General features: G+C 37.9%; 1 protein-coding gene across 1 annotated transcript in view; it reads left to right on the plus strand.

Annotated features, from left to right (window-relative positions):
• The first annotated feature begins 3,392 nt into the window (after positions 1–3,392).
• GLYATL3 (glycine-N-acyltransferase like 3) overlaps positions 3,393–21,677 on the plus strand; it is a 28,156-nt gene continuing 9,871 nt past the window's right edge. The window contains exons 1-4 of the mRNA NM_001010904.2: positions 3,393–3,512; positions 15,433–15,538; positions 19,123–19,230; positions 20,900–21,026. Of these exons, the coding sequence (NP_001010904.1) occupies positions 15,461–15,538; positions 19,123–19,230; positions 20,900–21,026 (313 nt within the window). The 5' untranslated portion in view covers positions 3,393–3,512; positions 15,433–15,460. The remainder of the gene's footprint in view (positions 3,513–15,432; positions 15,539–19,122; positions 19,231–20,899; positions 21,027–21,677) is intronic.

The raw sequence follows: 21,677 nt of genomic DNA on the forward strand, positions 1-21,677 counted from the left end.
AAGTTAAATATAAAAATAGAAGCTAAAAAGAAAGAAATGAACAGTGGATGTCAGGGTAGCAAATGCCCTATTATGCATATAAGCAAAAGTAAAATCATGAAAGATTATTACATAATATTTTGAACTTTTTGAAATAAGATTTTTAAAAATACAAAACCGGCCGGGCATGGCAGTTCATGCCTGTAATCCCAGCACTTTGGGAGGCCGAGGTGGGTGGATCACCTGAGGTCAGGAGTTCGAGACCAGCCTGGCCAACATGGTGAAACCCTGTCTCTACTAAAAATACAAAAATTAGCCGGGCATGATGGTGCATGCCTGTAATCCCAGCTACTCAGGAGGCTGGGGCAGGAGAATCGCTTGACCCTGGGAGGCAGAGGTTGTAGTGAGATGAGATCGTGCCACTGCACTCCAGCTTGGGCAACAGAGTGAGACTGTCTCAAAAAATAAAAAATAAAAATAAAACAAAATCAAGCCAAAGACACATCACAAATAGGAAAATATCTACAATATAAATAAAACAAAGAAATAAAACTTTTTTAAATAAAGAGCTCTGAAATATCATTAACAAATAGGTTAAATACAAATAGGAAAATGGGCAATTCTCAAAGGAAAACATCCATAAGTATTTGAAAGATGATCAACCTTAACTTCACCATTTAAATGCAAATTAAAACATATTTTCACCTATCAAATTGACGAAGACGGGAAAAAGCTGAAAGAAAATTGCTGAACATACTGAAAAATGGGCACCGAGTACTTGTGCTAAAGGAAGGTGAATTGGTAGAACTGTTTTGAGAGGCAGACTTTACAGATATGTTGCAGAACCTTAGTGTAATGTCGGCCACTTCAAATTCTTACTTTATATGAGCCCTTTGATTTTCCCCAACTCCCAGTTGGGCATATGTTCAACAAACAGGCTTTGTTTAAATACGAGCCACCTGCACTGGAACCTAAAATTAAAGGATTTACTTTTGTTTATTTGGTTGGATAGAATTTCTTGGCATTCCCTGTTTACCAAAAATATGCAGTTGCACCTGTCAAAATTAGTATTTGAGTTATACGGGTTGGCTTAGTTTCTAAACATAAGTCTAAATCCTCTCATGTTTCATTCATTGTTAAGAAATATTTAGCTTTGAGAGAGAGAAGGGAAAGAAGGCAAGCAAAAGCAGAGAGAAATTTTAATTTCTCAGTTGGGTTTTATTATGTCAAAAAGTGAGCTATTTTTGTTTTCTAATTCGCAATTTTGGTTAAGAGTTGTTACTAAATGTGTTTCTTCACAACTAAGCCACCATAGAACCAATTTTTCTTGACTTAGGTGTTTGCTGTCTTATTAAAGTAGCCTCTGTTCTTATCAGGGCTGTGAAGTTGCTTTAGCAACCATCTCCAAAATTGGATATAGTAGTTGTTAAAACTAGACAAAGAAGAAGATAAAAGAGGGACATTTTCTGAATTCATTAGAACTACAATAGAGCACATTTTTAAAATTAAGTTGTTCATTTTTTTTAATACTTTAAGTTCTAGGGTACATGTGCACAACGTGCAGGTTTGTTACATATGTATACATTTTTAAACTAATAGAAATAAATGTGCCTTAGCCAATTTTGCCCCATTTCTACCCCCTAGAGTTGTCCTTAAAATTACTGTAAGTTTTCAAATAGTACAACAGGGATATAAGACAGTCATAGCAATGAGAAAAATGGCTGACATTTATTGAGTGCTTGCTACATGCCAGGTACTAGTCCAATGCCATTACCTATATACATGTATTTATGCCAATGTTTAATCTTAATGGAAACCCTATGGGAATTAAACCTCATAACATTCATTATTATCTCCATCCTGCAGGTGAAGAAACTGCGGCACAGGGAGGCTAAATAACTTGAGATCACACAGATAGTAAATGATAGAACAAGGAAGTGAAAAAATAATTGAACCTTTTCTTAGGAGTTTTCTGATAAACTACAAGTAGAAGGGGCTAGTGAATCTAATGAGTAACCCCTATTACAGCAAAGTACAATCTGATGTATTTTTCTGAGTAAAGTGATAATATGTATTGCGGATTTGTTCACCTGGGTTTTCAGAAGACAATTCCTTTAAATTAATCTTACATTGGGAATCTCCTTTTTTCCTCCTTTTTCCGTTAATCTCAGAGTTAAAAGTTTGCCTTAGCCTAATATATATACATATCTCAAATTTAATTACCTTCAACCATACTTTCCAGGAAAAGGAATGTTTTGCCTTTTTATTATTTTTTTCTTCAGGCAAAAATTAGTTCCAATTAGTTCTGATGTTTTATAAAGAACAAAGAGCTCAAATTTCTGTTTTAAATGCACTTGGAAACAAGACGTAATCTAAATTTGGGGAGACTTTTACATGTCTCAGAGTTTATAAATAACCAGACCCCAAACTTTTTAAAGTTTCCCCTAGGATATTGCACTTACTGTCTAAAGGAGTTCCTGTTTTGCAAATAAAAAAAAAGCTTAACTTTTAAAAAATATATTTTACTCAGTTAATATTTAGAAAACTATATTTATATAGGCTCCTTAGGTCCAAGAGTAGGTATACTTTGTTCTCAGTAACATCTTTTAAAAAAGAAGTTATCAATGTATACAGCAAGATCAAAAACTCTTATTTTGACATCTAGTAATTGACATCTAATACAATTTCTCCATTTGCTGTCAACTACTAGCTGCCCATTGTATTACAAAGCTCAGTGTCCTCTAGTGAAGAATGCCCTACCTTACCATTTTATGAGACCTAAATGTGGTAAACAGAATCCTCCCATCTAACCACATTCAAACTGAAGCACTCTGCATATGCCGTTGAGACATTTGTGTTGCATATTATTTCAAGATGTAGATATTGAGTGCTGAGATGTCCAAGTAAATACTTACATGGTGGTTAAAATTGCAGTCTTTTGAAAGAAGTGAGTAAACTCTGAATGACTTTTCATTTAAAAGAATAGGCTGAAGTAATTAAAATTCTTGAAATTACTCTCATGTACTTATGTATCCTCTGTAGAGATTACCCCCTTTCAGCCTTGGAAGTTTAGGGCAGCAAAATCATTTTCTTCAGAATATATAAAAAAATAACTAAAGGGTCAATACCTTTATATTACTTTCTTATCGTACTACCATTTGCCTGGGCTCCTCTTCTTTTTATTCTCCTTCATGAGATACTGATTAATAGACAGGTTTTATGGCTAGAAAATACCTATCTCTAAATCAAGATTAGTATTCATTGGCTTTTACACCATAAGGCTAAATGTGATAAAAAGGAAGAGATGGAGTGGAAATGCCTGTGCTCTATGTGAGATGATTTTCACCTGATCACCATCATAAACTCCTCCCCGTCTACAGGTGTGGGCACTTTTTTTTTTTTCTCTCCCTCCTGTTTCCACTAAGGGCTAATTAGAGAGGTAGCCTTGAAGAATAAACTTACCATTTATATAAAAGGGCTACTGGACTGATACACAGCTGAAAACCCTCAGTTCTGGACTGAACTCCCAGCAGGTAAACATTTATTCATTAATATAATACATTTCAAGTCATAGTTTATAATTGCAGAAAGGGATGGGAAAAATAGAGAAGAGATGAAATCCAACCTTATACAGAACGAATACATTGTAATTAGGTTTCAAGGAAAGATATATTTTGTTTTGTTTCTTGGCGTGTTTTTGTTTGGGGTTTTTTTAACTCCTAAATTTTGATATGAGGAAAATTTTTACTCTTAAATTTTGATGTGAGGAAAATAAGTATTACCAAGTATAAATTTGTTTGCATTGTGATATGGGCACAACTAGAGCAACCTCTCTGAACAAAAATCCTAACATATGAAAAATAATTACTAGCATTGGATTCCAAGTGCTTAAAAAAATGTATTTCCTCATTAACAAATGCCCACCATTATATTGTAAATATTGTATTACATTACAAAAACAGAGATCTTATGTTTTATTGCTTATAAGACTTAAAAGTCTCCCAGGAGAGTGTCATGCTTTCATTGTTATGATAAATATTAATGAATAAAATATTTTAGATGCTTGCTCTGTGCTTATAAACACTCAAATGCCCCCAAAGAAACTTCAGTTTCTAAAACTTACATGAGCATAATTCTTTTTCTTGACAAATACTTTCAAACAGTGAGTCTATTGGTTATAATTTGGTTAAAGGAGTTACCAACCTTTAACTTCCAATTCCAGAACATACTGATTATGGACAGTACTAATCAAGTGGTAAGGATATGACATTCTGCTCTTGTAGCTTTCAGAGTTAATCGTCATTATGACTCTCTAACATGTTACAAAAATGTGTAGAAAATATTTTCTGCATCAATGAGAATTTCTGCTCTACCTTGTGGCATTAAAAAAATTTCTATTTAATGAAAGATCCTTATGAAATGAATCACTGTTTACTGAAAGGGTATTGTCAAATGTAGATTAATTGTAGTGTCCTCTCTGCATGAACCCATGGGGGAATGTCTCTGATTTTAGTTTGTCACCCTGAGTAATTTGTGAGTTGCATGAGTATAGTCTAGAAGGGTAAGTTGAAGCCAATTAAGTAGAGGTTTTGCTATTAAGAAGCTGGAGGCCAGGCAGGGTGGCTCACACCTGTAATCCCAGCACTTTGGGGGGCCAAGGCAGGTGGATCACATGAGGTCAGGAGTTTGAGATCAGCCTAGCCAACATGGTGAAACCCCCCATCTCTACTAAAAATATAAAAAAAACTAGCCAGGCGTTGGTGGTGTGTATCGCGGGAGCTGGCCAGCAGCCCGCAATGCAACGGGGCTCTCTCTTTGTTCCTAGGTGGATTGGCAGGTCGAGAAATAAGAGACTCACACAAGATAGTGAAAGCAGGTCCCGCGGTGCCGCCAATGCACTGACTATACCAGCATTTATTATTAAGTTTAGTGAGGGCAGCGGTAGGTTAGTGAGGGATTTAGGGTCATTTGATTATGAGGTGAGATGGTCACATGGGGATGAAGTAATTCTTTAACATAATATCTGTATGCAGAAGTACAGTATACAGAGATAAGAATTTACAATATAGTGTGTGCATCAGTAATTTCTAACAGAGCCTTAAAACAGAAACACAGTCTTTCCATAACCTATGATTAGCAGGATATTAATCAGCAGTAACAGTTGCAGCAAAAGCTGGTTACAAACAATCCATAGAAACAGGATGTGAAGCTAGACAACTAGTTAGACCAGAAATCCTCAGAAGGAAATATGTCTTAACCCTAAAGAGGCCTAGAAGAGCTGTGGCAAGATGAGCGTGTTATAGCCCTATCTTATCCATATGGACAGGCACCCCTCATTCGTCCATTTATAGGCTATCCACAAGGGTCGCATTCCATTCCCAGAGCTATGAACATCTGCTTTTCTGGGATAGGAATCTTGGTGATGTGAAACCTCCCTGAATGCACATCCATTCATAGGCTGTCTGCAGGGGGAAGCACATCACGTGCTATTGGTTCATTCTGGCAGTCCAACCTGGCATTGTCTTTACACAATCCTGCATGCAATTTTGTATTTACAATAATCAGGAGCATTTCATCTTTTACTCCATAGCAATAGTTTCAGGGGGTCTCCCTACATCTCCTCCTTTTCTCTGATTTAAATGAACCATAGCAATCATAGCTTGGCACTGATCATGATTGGATTGAAGAATATTTTTTCCAATTTTGTATATGAACAATAAACCAATAGCACAAATTATACATAGAACAAAATTAACAATAGTGGATCCTCCCAAGGATTTTACCCATTGAATGGGGTTGAGATTAGATAACCCCTCAGATACACCGTCTAAAACTTCAGCACTGGGTAAAGCAGTTAAGTGTGCTTGACAGGCCTCAAAAATCTGTGCTTTTAGCTTGCTTATGTCTAAACTTAAATTATCTTCACTTCCTTGTAAATGGCATTTTACTGATTCCCAATTGTGAACAGACTCATTACATTGAAACGGATTTATAGAAAATCAGAAGTATTCCAATCACATTGCATTTGAAATCTATGTTCTAAACTTATAATTCTTATAATTCTATCTCCCATCCAGATAACAGTTTGTCAGGTTATTAATTTGATTGGCCAATTTTTGATCAATACCTGACTGAGAATTCCACATCCAAGTAGAATCTTTTTGCCATTTATCCACAAAATGAACAGTTTGAATAGATTGATGTAATGCAACTCCAGCAGTAGCAGCAGTCACAGTAACAGCAATCAAACCATTATTACTGCAATTAATGTAAAAATAAATAATTTACTCCTTTTAATAATTTTCTGTAGAATATTATTAATAACATGGATAGAAGGGGAAGATTCCCAAGGCCTATGTAAGGCTACGGGAAGCCAAATACCTTCTCTGGCTCTGACTACTAAAATACTATGATATTGATTAAAGGATGAGTCAATCCAAGCATACAAGTAACAACTAACACATGTAATTATGTTGGTTTTTGAACTAATATGCATCTTTCCTACTAATAACATATATGGTGGTTTAACACAACTTTTAAGTGGTATAGTTTTATTGGACTCCATATAGATAGTATATTTATTTTGGGATGGTACTCTTTTTGTGAATGCATGGTGGGGGGAATAGGTTGTATGAGAGGTGGTGTGGGGACATTAGCAAAGGGGGGGATATAAGTCCTCATCATCTTTACTGTCCCATCTTTGAATTGACCTTTTGACGATTGCCATAGTGATATTTTTGGCTGTGTGAAAATAGTAGTGTAAATCAATCTGTTGTCTTAGTTTTCGAGGTGACAAGGTGGATTTACTTATAACACTTTCTCCAGCCCAAACTCTCATACCAGTCATATCTATGGTTAATCTCCATAATTCTGAATGTTCAGGTCCTAAGTGGGGAACAATGAGCCTTGGCTTTGGAGGGGCAACCCCTGCCCCTTTCCACTTAAAAGGAAAAAAGGAGTTAAATATATGATATAATAGGGGAGGGTTGTCACTACTTTTTTGATAAGTAATATCATAGAGAAAGTGTTGACAATCTCTGTGACCTTGAGAGCAATCATTAGTAATATGACCTTTAGGAGCCCAATCAACAATGGTATAGTGAGAAGAATTAAATAACACACTCCTTCTGAACTAACACAATCCTTCCACATTAATTTGTCAGCATTTGAAGACAAGTTGATAGGACACACAGGTCCTAAAGGCTTATATTGGGATGTGTGAATATAATCAGAGATTCATGTTTTGATCTGTCTTAGAGGTTTTAATGAGATCCCTGATACCAAGTGTCCTAAAGAGTGACCAGATGGTAGTGTGACTGCCCAAATTTGAATATCTAATGAGAGACATCCATTTGTGGGTCCCAGGCACAAAGGTGGATACCTAAAACCTAAAGTGATATTGAAAGGAGTTCCTTCTTCTGAAGGTTGGGCAGGACAACGATCGTCTACAGAACCAGGCATCCAAATACTATCATTAACATAGACCTCGATAGGAGCGTCCATCCACGTCATGGCTCGAATAAGAAGAAGAAAAGGAATATAGGCCCAATATTCGTAGTTTTTAACAGTCTGTGGGGTGACAGAGGGTAAAAGGATCAGTGTAATCAGGAGGAGGCAGAGGTTGAGCCAGACCTGGATCGCTGGAGGCAAGTTGTTCAGGATGGCTGACTGGATTGTCTGTTGTAAAGGAGTTAGCATGGTTATTTTTTTTCTTTTCTTTTTTTCTTTTTCTTTTTTTTTTTTTGACGGTTGGATGTGTTAGTTGTTTTTTGCTGTGGTGTTTTTTCAGCAAATTTCTCTGTCTCATTGTTGCATGCATCTTCAGGACAAAATTTCAGGTGTCTAGCAGGAATCCAAACAGGAGATTGATATTCACCTGGGGAAACACAAGCATAGCCTCTACCCCACGTTAAAATAGAGCCTTTTGACCGTATATTAGATTGAACATCTTTCCACCATACTTCCCTTCCTTGGTTTACTGTGGGACAGTTACCAGAGAAATGTTTTTCGGCAGCAGTAACAGAACTAGATTTAGGAATATTAAGAAAATTTAATGTGAGCAATGCAAAGTTTAATTGTATGTGAGGGGTAGACAACTCCTTATCCCCCTGTTTTTGTTTAAGTAATTGTAATTTTAAGGTTCTGTTACTTTTTTCTACAATACCTTGGCCTTGTGGGTTATAAGGAATATGAGTAATATGTTTAATATGCCACTGATGAAAAAAATTTTTAATAGCTTTACTGCAATAGGCTGGATCATTGTCTGTTTTGCGCTCACTAAGAATTCCCATAACCGCAAAACATGAAAACATATGTTTTTTAACATGAGAAGTGGCTTCTCCAGTTTGACAGGTAGCCCAGATGAAATTGGAAAAGGTGTCAACTGTGAAATGCACATAAGCTAATTTTCTAAAAGAAGGAACATGAGTAACATCCATTTGCCAAATAGCATTAGGAGAAAGGCCTCGGGGATTAACTCCGAGAGATTGTGTGGTTAAGACAAGAACCTGACATCGAGAACAGTGTTGTACAATTTGTTTAGCTTTTTTCCAACTGAGAGAATATTTATGTTTAAGACCTGAGGCATTAGTATGAGTGAGTTGATGAAATTGTTCTGCATCTATAATGGCTAGAGAAACTAGAGTATCAACTTTATGATTACCACTGGATAAAGGTCCAGGTACGTTAGTATGAGAACGAATGTGAGTGATGAAAAAAGGGTGGTTTCAGTTTCTGACAGTTTTTTGTAACAAAGAGAACAAGGAAAATAGATTAGTGTCAGTAATATTTTTGATGGTAGCTGTTTCTATTGCCTTAGTGGCATGGACTACATAAGCTGAGTCAGAGACAATATTAAGAGGCTGACTAAAATCCTGTAATGCAGAGATAACAGCAAACAACTCGGCTTTTTGAGCAGAAGTGTATGGAGTAGAAATGACTTTATCTTTTGGTCCTACATAACCTGCCTTTCCATTACTGGATCCATCAGTAAAAATGGTAACGGCTGCCTCTCATCATGATGAATGAGTAAGTTCTGGTAGAATCCAGGAAGTATTTCCTAGAAATTGAAAGAATTTTGACTTAGGCAAATGATTATCAATAGTGCCAACGAAGTCAGCCAGATTAGTCTGCCAGCACAAAGATGTAGAAAAGGCATTTTAAACTTCATTTTTTGACAAAGGGACCACAATAATGTTTGGATCAAAGCCAGAAATTTTAGTGACACACTGACATCCTAACCCAATCAAAGTGGCCATTTGATCAAGATATATTGAAAGAGTCTTAGAGGCTGAATTAGGAAGAAATACCCATTCAACTAGAGAATTATTTTGTACTATAAGTCCCGTAGGAGAGTGGATGGAAGGAAAAACTAAAAATTGTAAAGGCAAATTTGGGTCAATACGAGAGACTTGTGCCTCTCTCACTCGTTGTTCTACAAAAGACAACTCTTGTTTTGCTGGTTCAGTTAGAGAACGAGGACTGTTTAGATCTGTATTTCCTGATAAAGTAGCAAATAGATGAGATAATGCATAAGCAGGGATGCCTATGGTTGGTCTGAGATAATTGATGTCACCTAGTAATTTTTGAAAATCATTTAAGGTGTTTAAATTGTCAGTACAAAGTTGGACTTTTGGGGGCTTAATGGAGTGAGCTTCTAGCTGCATTCCTAAGTACAGAAAAGGAGTGGCTTGTTGAATTTTATCAGGAGCAATGTGGAGTCCTGCATTGGCAACAGCTAATTTTAAAGAGGTAAAACATTGAATTAATTCATCTTTAGTGGGGGCAGCAATTAGTATATCAACCATATAATGAAGAATGTAATTATTTTTAAAAGTCTGTCAGATAGGTTGTAACACAGTACCGACAAACAACTGACAAATAGTAGGACTCTTTATCATTCCTTGAGGTAAAACTTTCCATTGATATCTAGCTGCAGGAGCTGAATTGTTGATGGAAGGTATAGTGAAAGCAAATTTTTCACAGTCTGACTTGTCAAAAGGAATATGAAAAAAGCAGTCTTTAAGGTCAATGATAATTAAAGGCCATTCCTTAGCAATCATGGAGGGGGAGGGCATACCAGATTGTAATGCCCCCATAGGTTTAATAACTGCATTAACAGCTCTTAAATCTGTTACCATCCTCCATTTTCCTGACTTTTTTTTGTACAACAAACACAGGCGAGTTCCATGGAGACAAGGACGGCTCAATAGTGTTTGCTTGTAGTAAATCATTAACAATTTAAATTAAAGCCTCCAATTTGTGTTTGGAAAGTGGCCACTGCTCTACCCAAACAGGTGACTCACACATCTATTGTGAAGGGGCAGGGGAAAAGAAGGAGAGTGAGGGCACCAGGACGTGGACTGGGGGAAAACAGGATTCTAAGCCTCTGAAAGAAGGGGTCCCGGAGTGTTGAAAGAAACAGTAGGCTTAGAATAGGGGAGAGGTCCAAAAGGATGATGGGAATGAGAAACATGCCATTCAGATGAATGCCACACATCCTCCTCTGGCAGAGGGGGCAACGGCTTAGTAGAAGAAGAGTTAACATATACAGGTTCCAAGATAGGAGGCAGAGGGTGGGGATCATCATCAGGTTCCTTCTCTTGGGAAGAAACCAAGGAGAGATCAAATTCTCCCTCATCATCAGAAGGAGGACTAGTAGGGGGGTCAGCTACCCAAGGTAAAGGGAGCAGTTCATCATCCACGTTAACTTGTGGCAGTTGAAGAGGATCACCAGATGGAAAAGGAAGTAAAGCAACATGAATAAGAGCCCAGTCAGTCCAAACAGAAATAGGAAGTAAAACACCATCTCTCATGAGCTGGTGGAGAGTGGCACCAACTCTATCCCAGTCTAACAGGTCCATAGAATCTTTGTCAGGGAACCAAGGACAATATTTTTCAATAGTCTGAAATAAAAGAATAAGGTTAGTGGAATCAGCCTTGATTCCACCCTGTTTAAGAAGAAGTTTAATAAAAGACAGATAAGCCTGGTGTTTAGACTGTGATTGTCGCATAATAGCCCTGGAATAATACTCATCGACAAACCTGAAAAGAGGGGAGAGTTGGAAAAGCATACCCAGGGACCTTACTGTCAAGACTGAAGACCAGTCGTCATGAACCTGCATTCGGAGTGCACTGAGCCGAGGAACAAAGAAGGCCACCTTGGGCGCCAGATATTGAGGGATCTAGCTAGCAGCCTGCAATGCAATGGGACTCTCTCTTTGTTCCCAGACAGATCGGCAGGTTGAAAAATTAAATAGACACACACAAGATAGTGAAAGCTGAGTCCAGGGGGGTCACCACCTTCTGGTCCTGCAGTGCCACCAATGCACTGAATATACCAGCATTTCTTATTAAGTTTAGTGAGGGCGGGGGTAGGTTAGTGAGGAATTTAGGGTCATTTGATTATGAGGTGAGATGGTCACATGGGGATGAAGTAATTCTTTAACATAATATCTGTATGCAGAAGTACAGTATACAGAGATAAGAATTTACAATATAGCGTGTGCATCAGTAATTTCTAACAGAGCTTTAAAACAGAAACACAGGGAGGCTGAGGCGGGTGGATCGCAAGGTCAGGAGATCAAGACCATCCTGGCTAACATGGTGAAACCCCGTCTCTACTAAAAATTTAAAAAATTAGCCGGGTGTGGTGGCGGGCGCCTGTAGTCCCAGCTACTCGGGAGGCTGAGGCAGGAGAATGGCGTGAACCCGGGAGGCAGAGCTTGCACTGAGCCGAGATCGCACCACTGCATTCCAGCCTGGGCGACACAGTGAGACTCCCTCTCAAACAACAATAACAACAACAACAACAACAACAAAAACCAGAAACACAGTCTTTCCATAACCTATGATTAGCAAGATATTAATCAGCAGTAACAGTTGAAGCAAAAGCTGGTTACAAACAATCCATAGAAACAGGATGTGAAGCTAGACAACTGGTTAGACCAGAAATCTTCAGAAGGGAGTATGCCTTAACCCTAAAGAGGCCTAGAAGAGCTGTGCAAGATGAGGGCATTACAGCCCTATCTTATCCATATGGACAGGTGCCCCTCATGCATCCGTTTATAGGCTCTCCACAACGGTCGCATTCCTTTCCCAGAGCTATGAATATCTGCTTTTCTGGGATAGGAATCTTGGTGACGTGAAACCTCCCTGAATGCATGTCCCTTCATAGGCTCTCTGCAGGGGAAGCACATCACGTGCTGTTGGCTCATTCTGGCAGTCCAACCTGGCATTGTCTTTACACAATCCTGCATGCAATTTTGTATTTACAATAATCAGGAGCATTTCATCTTTTGTTCCATAGCAATAGTTTCAGGGGGTCTGCCTACAGGTGTGTGCTTGTAATCCCAGCTACTCAGGAGGCTGAGACAGGAGAATTGCTTGAACCTGGGAGGTGGAGGTTGCAGTGAGCCAAGATCATGCCACTGCACTCCAACCTGGGCAACAGAGCGAGACTGTGTCAAAAATAATAATAATAATAAATTAATAATAAATAAAAATAAGCTAGAGTATTGGACTTTAGAGATGGCATAAGTGAAAAACAAGTAAATGTTAGAAGAAAGAGTGTAAGGAGGATAATTTTCTGGGCAAACTGAATCATGAAACTAATCATATTTGTTTCTCTTTATGTTAGAAAGTTTAGTGTCAAAAGTGGACTCTCACCTGCTGCAAGTACAATTGATTCTCATTGTGGTAGTTATTTTCAATAAAATACCAGACACTGACTTAGTCAATACTGAAACATTGTTCCAAGTAGAAATACAGTTAGGTTCCTGTCAGCCTCTGGTTATGGTATTTTCATCAGCAGGTCAATAGTAACCTTGTTTTATATGTGTTTTGTTGAAAGACACATTAATATATATTGTTGATTCAAGAGCATTGTAACTCATGTCCAAACGAAACTTACCTAACACGTGTATTTCCTCCATTATTCACATCACAGCATTTTTGCACTTAGAAACACCAGTACAACCAATAAGTGCTATGCTTTTGGTCCATTTTTAAACAGCAAAATCAACACAAAGCACAAAAACTTGAAAAACTTAGCACTAAACAGACCATGAAAAGGGCACTTGTTTACAATATGAGAACAAACAAGAAGACAGAGCATTCCCTGTTCAACCTTAGCTGGAAACATGTGAGTTAGGAAACCCAGTTCTTTTTGCTGCTCTATGCATGACTGCAAATGACTGTAAAAGTGCCACGAGTATTGAATTGGGAATTACAAATAAATTTTAGCAAGCAGGTAAATTTTCAAATATGAAATTCATGATTAAGGATGATCAATTGTATACATAGGATTATGTTCCATGCTCCATACTTTGCATATTAACCTCACTTTTGACTCCATATTACTTTGTCCCTCTATTTCTCCTTTGCCAAATTTTAATTTAAACTTAATTATTTTTCTTGATATATTTTACGTATTTTCTTTCTCTTTCTTTCTTTCTTTCTTTCTTTCTTTCTTTCTTTCTTTCTTTCTTTCTTTCTCTTTCTTTCCTTCCTTCCTTTATTTCATTTATTTATTTATTTATTTTTTTGACGGAGTTTTGCACTTGTTGCCCAGGCTGGAGTGCAATGGCATGATCTTGGCTCACCACAACCTCGCAACCTCCGCCTCCCAGGTTCAAGCGATTCTCCTACCTCAGCCTCCCTAGTAGCTGGGATTACAGGCATGTGCCACCACACCTGGCTAATTTTGTATTTTTAGTAGAGACAGGGTTTCTCCATGTTGGTCAGGCTGGTCTCGAACTCCTGACCTCAGGTGATCCACCCGCCTCGGCCTTCCAAAGTGCTGGGATTACAGGCATGAGACACCACGCCCAGCCTAAGTATTTTCATAAATGGCTTTAGATCCTTCAGGGAACAAACCAGGTAATAAAGGAGCAAATTATCAACAAATGTTCTAATTCGTACTCTTTTCATTTGCTACTTCAGTATTCAGGCATAAAAAGATCTCTAGACATCAAACCTAATTAAGAGGTTCACATTCCACTGCCCTTTGAAATAATTTTGTTTCGTTTTCTATCAGGATATATTGAATTCGAATAAATAAATGTATTTCAAATAAGTATCTATTACAAAGTTAAAATTGTATTTAGAGATGACACAAATGAGTGAAAAGTTAAGCAGATGAAAAAGTGAAGAGATGATGGCTGTACTTCTTTCTTTGCCATCCTGAAGTCTGGAAACTAGATCTTTTCAAAGTTTCTAATATTGGTCCAGACTGGGATTCAAAAGCCTCTTAATGTTCGGGTGCTGCCCTGGCCCCTGCAATCTCTTCTGACTCCTGCAGAGAGCACAGACACCTCAAGTGTACCACTCAGTGAACTAGAGCCCACAGGGCTTGATCATATGCTTTCCAGAGGTTCAGGCTCACATAAACCTCATGATAGAATTTTACAGGAGATTTTAGGTAGATTACAATTGAATATTCAGGGTATCTTGTAATCACAGGGGTATGCCACATAGAGAAATTGAGTAGAATTTTCTTTACCTGGAAAATACGTTGTAAAGGAATAATCCCAGCTCTCCACCACAACCCCAGAGGCACCATGTTCTCCTGTCTAGCTGAGTTCTCTTTGCCATCCTAGTGCCTGTCTGCCAGATGTAAGTTGATAAGCTCTGCTACATTGAATGTAGGAAATATTTTTTTTCTTTAATTCAGTCCATCCCTGATTGGAATGCCAGAAAAAGTTTTCTTGGGAACAAAGCAGGCGAGGTGAAGCCCCCAAATCTAAAAAAAATCTAATTGCATGAGAACAGATGACTTTGCATACATTACATTTAGGCCCTTCTTTTTTCTTTAATTTTATCAGGCTAAAATGAGTGTCAGCCTTTGACCACTTCTGATTCTTCATCTTCAATCTAGGTATTTCTCTCCAGTTTTTCCTCATAACGACCCGACCCACTCAAGTCTTTCTCTAGTCTTTGCCCCACATTGTGAAAAAGATGTTTTCCAACTTAGCTCGAGGTTCTTACCCTGAGCTTCATATTTTCCATTCATCAACTATTTAGAATGTCCCTACTGTGTGCCAGGTCCTTTGGCAGGTGCTGTGGATACAGTGGAGCACAAAGAAGGCATCGGTCCTACCTTCATACAGCTTATAGGTTACTCAGGATGGATTTAGATCAAATAAAACACAAATAAATACAAAATTACAACTGTTATACATGCTCTGAAGACAGAGTTTAGAGTACAATCAATGTATATAATAGACTTAACCAAGGATAGATACTCACATCTGTTTGGGATTAGGTCATTAACACTTCCCATGTATTCTCCGGTTTACCCATCCCAGTGCCTCCCCATCTTCCCTTTTCCCTCTTCAGGGGGAGCAATGGCAGTCAGAATTATACCCAATGAAAATAGAATTACAAGAAAACTCCTAAATAGATCCAAATATTAACAGGCAAAAATTAAATGCCTACCTTCAAGTTTCTAATTAGGTGTGGAGTTGCAAGAGCTCTGGAAAAGATGTTGGTGCTAAACTGTTCTACCAAATTACTGATACTGGAGAAAATGTTGAAGAGTTGCTTTCCTGAATCACTCAAGGTACCATAAAATTAATAATTTTATTTTATTTCTTTATTGTGTTAATCTGTAAAATAATGTCAAACTTGTGGCTATTTTCCTTTTTTTCTGATAATAAGACTCTCTAGGAGCACTTGTTAAACATACAGCTTCCCAGCTCCCTCCTGCTAGAGACAGATTGAATAGACTGTGGATAAGGCCCAGGGAATTACACTTTTCTTTTTTTTTTTTTCTTTCTTTTTTTTTTTTTTTTAACTTTAAGTTCTGGGATGCATGTGCTGAATGTGCAGATTTGTTACATAAGTATACATGTGCCATGGTGGTTTGCTGCACCTATCAACCCATCATCTAGGTTTTAAGCCCTACATGCATTAGGTATTTGTCCTAATGCTCTCCCTCCCCTTTCCTCTCACCCCCTGGAAACTACACTTTTCATAGTCACCTGGATGACTCCTAAGGAAATTTAGGTAATTTCTAGATTATTTCTAAATAAATTTGAGTTCTAAAGTATTTTAAATAGCAGAAGGGTATGGACTAGGTGGCACTGCAGTTAAGAACATAATCTAGTTAAAATAATAAAACTGAGGTTTAGATCTTGTTATAAATGCAGTGAAATTGCCTTTAAGAGCTGAATTTCTTGAGCAAGGAGACTGCCCTATGCCTGGTTTTCAAATGTGAGTGGCATGCAAATCACCCATGAGATACATAACAAATAAGAATTTGTGAACACAGAGACTTGCATTTTTACCAAAGACCCTATTTAATCCTTATGTACATTAAAATTTGAACAAAAGTGATCTAGAAGGAGTCCTCTAATGCACTATACTGTGTGAATTAAATCTGGCCATCTTGCCTTATTGATCATGCTTAAACTGTATGTGGTAACGAAAATATGAATAAGAATTTGGAATCATTTGGCTAAAAAATAAAATGTACCAAATTGACAATCCAACCCAAATTTTCCCAAGATCAATGCTGACACTGAAGTGAATTAATGGAATGAAATGGTAGGCTACTTTGCTTTAATAATATGTCCAAATAATTATTTTTCCAGAGATAATGAAAAAAATTTCAGTGACCTTTACAGGATAATAAAAGGTGTTAGAGAATTAAAATATTAAAGAAAATACAGTTTCATTTATTTAAACTTCCTCCATTTTTTGGAGTTTTTGGCTATGGATTTTGTAACCTCAGCTTAGTTTTTAAGTGATTAAATATCCTTCCAAAGTTCCTTCATAAGTTCTCATCTCATTCCCCCAGCACATTGATATCCTTCTAGCCACACCCCCTCAACTCAACATTCACCCTTTGAATAAATAGCTATTGGAAGAGTTTGTATTTAACCAGTGTCAAATATTTCAGTTGGTTCCAAATCCTATACAAATAAGTTATGTTTTTTCTTTCTGAATCTGAATATTGAAAGGGTTTTTGCCTTTTAAGATGCTGAGCATTCCAATCATATTTAGGTTACATTCTTGAGTAAGAATGTATAGTTTCCTCATGTGAAACTTATTAATAAACATTACTCTGTATATGCAAGATGAGCAGCCACATAATTTAATGATTAACAGAACAAACATGACCCTTCCAGGTTACTTTAGATCTTGAATTTTCACTAAGGGTGATCCATGTTACACAATAATATAAGCCGAACCCAATTTGGAAAGACTCCTTCTATGAGGATATGTGAATGAGGTCCAGATTGGGTAATATAGAAGAAAGTTGTACAATTCTAGGCATTGAAGAAAATGAGTGATTTAGATTACAATAGTGATAAAGTCAGGTGCAGTAGCAAGCTTGTAGTCCCATCTACTCGGAAAGCAGAGGCAGTAGGTTCATTTGAGCCCAGGAGTTCAAGGCCAGCAAGGTCCCCTTTCTTTAAAAAAGTTGTTTTTAATTAAACAAAAAAGTGATAAGGGAGGTAAATGTAGGTTCCAATGTCCTTATAAACAAAACAAAGCAAAACAAAGTCCATTGAAATCTAACACATGCTAGCTACAAAGTGCACACAATTTAATTATGAAATTTAATTAATGAATTTTCATAAAGCAAATGCCTACATAACATCCACTACTACAGAGAAAGAAAATTACTTTTGACGTCACTCCTTCCCACCTGCAATGCCCCTTTCCAACCGCTACCTCTCCCTGTTCCCTAAAAGTGACCACTATCCTGACTTCCAAAGCCATAATTTAGTTGTGCCTGTTTTGAATGTAACATAAATTGGATCACACAGTAAGTATCTTTTTCGTATCTAACTTCTTTTGCTCAACATTATGTTTGTGAAATTAATTTCATTGCTGTTTTGTAATCTACAGTACCAATGTGCGACAATGTACTTATTCATTTCACTGTTGATGAACATGAATGGTGGTAAAAAGGATTCCTATAGTTCAGCAGTCTTTGTTACCACCAACTTTGTCCAGCTTCTACAAGCATACATGTGACATATGCAAGCTATTTTGTAGGACAGTCATCTTTCTTAGTAGATAAAAATATGTGGCTGCATATGGTGGCTCATGCCTGTAATTTCAATACTTTGGAAGGCCAAGGTGGGAGGATCACTTGAACCCAGGAGTTCGAGACCTGCCTGGGCAACATAATGAGACCGCATCTCTACAAAAAAAATTTTTTTAATTATCCAGGTGTGGTGGTGCTTGCCTTAGTTCCAGCTACTCAGGAGGCTGGGGTGGGAGAATTGTTTGAACCCAGGAGGCGGAGGTTGCAGTGAGCAGAGATAGCGCCACTGAACTCCAGCCTGGGTGACAGAGCGAGACTGAGGAGTTCAAGGCTGCAGTGATCTGTGATTGCCCCATAACACTCCAGCCTGGATGACAGAGTGAGATACTGTCGCAAAATAATAATAATAATAAAAGAAGGGCAAACTTTAAAGAAAGAAAATAAAAAATGTGAAAGGCCACAGAAAGAATTATAATATTATTCCAGTTTGGTTGAGTCACCAAGCATTCAATCATCTATGTCAGGCTCCGTGGACATAATAATGAATGAGACATCATTATAGCCCTCAGGGAATGCTTATAGAGCCTTGCTCCATCAAATCTAAAGTACAGTTTTTGTTTGTTTGTTTGTTTTAATTTGAGTTGGTGTCACCCTCTAATGATGTCTAATTGTAATTTAGGGTTGAAGAAGTAGTCGCATTTCACAGGTTATTTTCAAGTAGTATACTGGGCTTGAAAAGAAGCTGAGCATCAAAATTATTTGCAGAAATTTTTAAATATGCATGAACCCTAAGAGCATATGTTATCCTGATTCATTCAGCAAGTATTTACTGCTGACCTATGTGCCAAGTACCCACCTAGTAAGCCTATGAATTTGGTACCTCTCACTGCTATCCTATAAAAAACTAGGTTTGGAAAGAGTTTTTATAGGATTTCATAGACTTTTTACAAGTTTTCAAGTGCACTGATAAAATAATAGAAAAATTAATATACGTGTCTATTATGTGTCTGAATGTATGTATATATATATTTATAATTTCCCCTCTTGTGGACATGATTACACAGTAGAACAAGAGGTAAAGACGATAATATGTGAGTGAAACAGCTAATAGTATGATTGGCTTGTCTCTGGGTTATCTGACTCAGGTTTACGGAGCGGTGATGAACATAAATCGTGGGAACCCCTTTCAAAAGGAAGTGGTGTTGGATTCATGGCCGGATTTCAAAGCTGTTATCACCCGACGACAAAGAGAGGTACAGTTTTGAAAGGTAAAAAGTTTAAAAATAATAAGAATTGGAAAGAAAAAGTAGGTAATGGTATTTTATAATCATAGTAGCCATTTACATTAGCTTACAACACTGTTTCACCATTCATTTCTTTTCTTTCTTTCTTTCCCTTCTTTCCTTCCCTCCCTCCCTCCCTCCCCTCCCTCTCTCCCTCCCTCTCTCTCTCTCTCTCATTCTGTCACCCAGACTAGAGTGCAGTGGCATGATCTCAGCTCATTGTAATCTCCACTTCCCAGGTTGAACCGATTCTCCTGCCTCCGCCTCCTGAGTAGTTGGGATTATAGGCACCCACCACCATGCCTGGCTAATTTTTGTATTTTTAGTAGACACTTTAGTAGAGATGGGATTTCACCATGTTGGCCAGGCTGATCTCGAACTCCTGACCTCAGGTGATCCGTCTACCTCGGGCTCCCAAAGTGCTGGGATTACAGGCATGAGTCACTATGCCCAGCCTCAGCATTAGTTTCTAATTTGACTGGCTTCAGAGTGTCAGGAACTTGAAAAACCTCTAGTCCAAACATGTTCAATAAAGTGGTTCCTTAGTGTTTCATGATCTCTAGAAGGATGAAGCACAAATGGCTGACTTACAGATACTAGCTTTTTCCCTGGGTGAATGATTCCTTATGACTGATGACTTTGGTCATGTGGGTATTTGGAAGAAGAGTGAAGACAACATCTGCCCCGAGACCAAGGAGAAGCTCATGTGGCCAAAGAGGTACCGTCCTGACCACATTAGGAAGATTCTGAGAGTTGTAATTCTTGGAGGTGAATCCACTGAGTTATATACCCTCTTTATTTTTATAAATAAACAAAATCCTAGAAAAATGTGAAATAGATGTCTTAAAACCTTCCTAGCCAGATGTGGTGGCTTGTGCCTGTAGTCCCACCTACTTGAGAGGCTGAGGCAGGGGGTTTGCTTGAGCCCCAGAGTCCGAGACTACAGTCAGCTATGATTTCACCACTGCACTCCAGCCTGGGCAACAAAGCAAGACCCTGTTGCTAAAAAATAAAAAATAATTTTTAAAATTTTTAAACAAAACAAAACCTTTCCTAATCCCAGAAGAAAGAATCAAGAAAAAATCAGCTGAGCGCGGTGGCTCATGCCTGTAATGCCAACACTTTGGGAGGCCTAGGCGGGCGGATCATGAGGTCAGGAGATCAAGACCATCCTGGCCAACACGGTGAAACCCCATCTCTACTAAAAATACAAAAAATAGCTGGGTGTGGTGGCGTGCACCTGTAATCTCAGCTACTTAGGAGGCTGAAGCAGGAGAATCACTTGAACTGGCTCACTGCAATCTCCGCCTCCCCAGTTCAAGTGATTCTCCTGCACTCCAGCCTTGCAACAGAGTGAGACTCTGTCTAAAAAAAAAAAAAAGAAAAGAAAGAAAGACAAAGAAAAACTCTTTCCTAATCCCAGAAGAAAGAATCAAGCAAAAGCTACACAACTTCATTTTCCCCTCACTACAGCATATTAGCCCCATTCCCATTTAGCCATTGCTTTATAGGGGTCTAATTTTGTTAGCCACCTATAAAAATTAGCTAGACATGTCCAGCTAACGGTATCTAATCTACCTAAGATTTGGATTATCCAGATAATACGTTTATGTTTTTGTGATTATGTCTTCTGTCCTAGGCTGAGACAGATAACCTTGATCATTATACTAATGCCTATGCTGTGTTCTACAAGGATGTCAGGGCTTATCGACAGCTATTGGAAGAATGTGATGTTTTTAACTGGGACCAAGTTTTTCAAATACAAGGTGAGGTCAAGTGCAAGACTTATATTACACAGTCTTTTTTTTCCTCCTTAGCATATATCCAGATAGTTATAGATATTTCATATATATGAAAATATATAGATTATCTATACACACCTGTATGTATAAATACATACACATACATTTTATGCATTTACCATTTCTATATTCTAGTGTTGTAAGAACACTCATTTGTCACTTCTAATGAGGCATGCATGGCCTTCAGGGTAAAAAGAGACCATTTAAATGGAGCTGTTCTTAGGTGACATGTTTTTTCTACTATTACTGTAATATGGATGGATATCAGTGAGAATCAGAGAATATTTTTCCTTATTGGTTTTAATCCTTTTCTATCACATTTTTAAAATAACTATAATTTAGGTCTTAGCCAATAGGTAGGCCTTTTATTTTTTCTGAAGCAGATGATTCTGGAAAGAAATAATCGATTGATCTGCATAAAATGTCCTCAAATGACTGTTTTTTTTCTGAGTCAAGGTCTTGCTCTGCAACCTAGGCTGGATGCAGTGGTGTGATCATACCTCACTGCAGCCTTGAACTCCTGGGCTCAAGGATCCTCTCTCCTCAGCTTCCTGAGTAGCTAGGACTACAGGTGGCACCATTCAGGGCCCTTTTTTGTTGTTGTTGTTGTTGTTG

The sequence above is a fragment of the Homo sapiens genome, chromosome 6, assembly GCF_000001405.40.
Source record: "Homo sapiens chromosome 6, GRCh38.p14 Primary Assembly".
Lineage (NCBI taxonomy): Eukaryota > Metazoa > Chordata > Mammalia > Primates > Hominidae > Homo > Homo sapiens.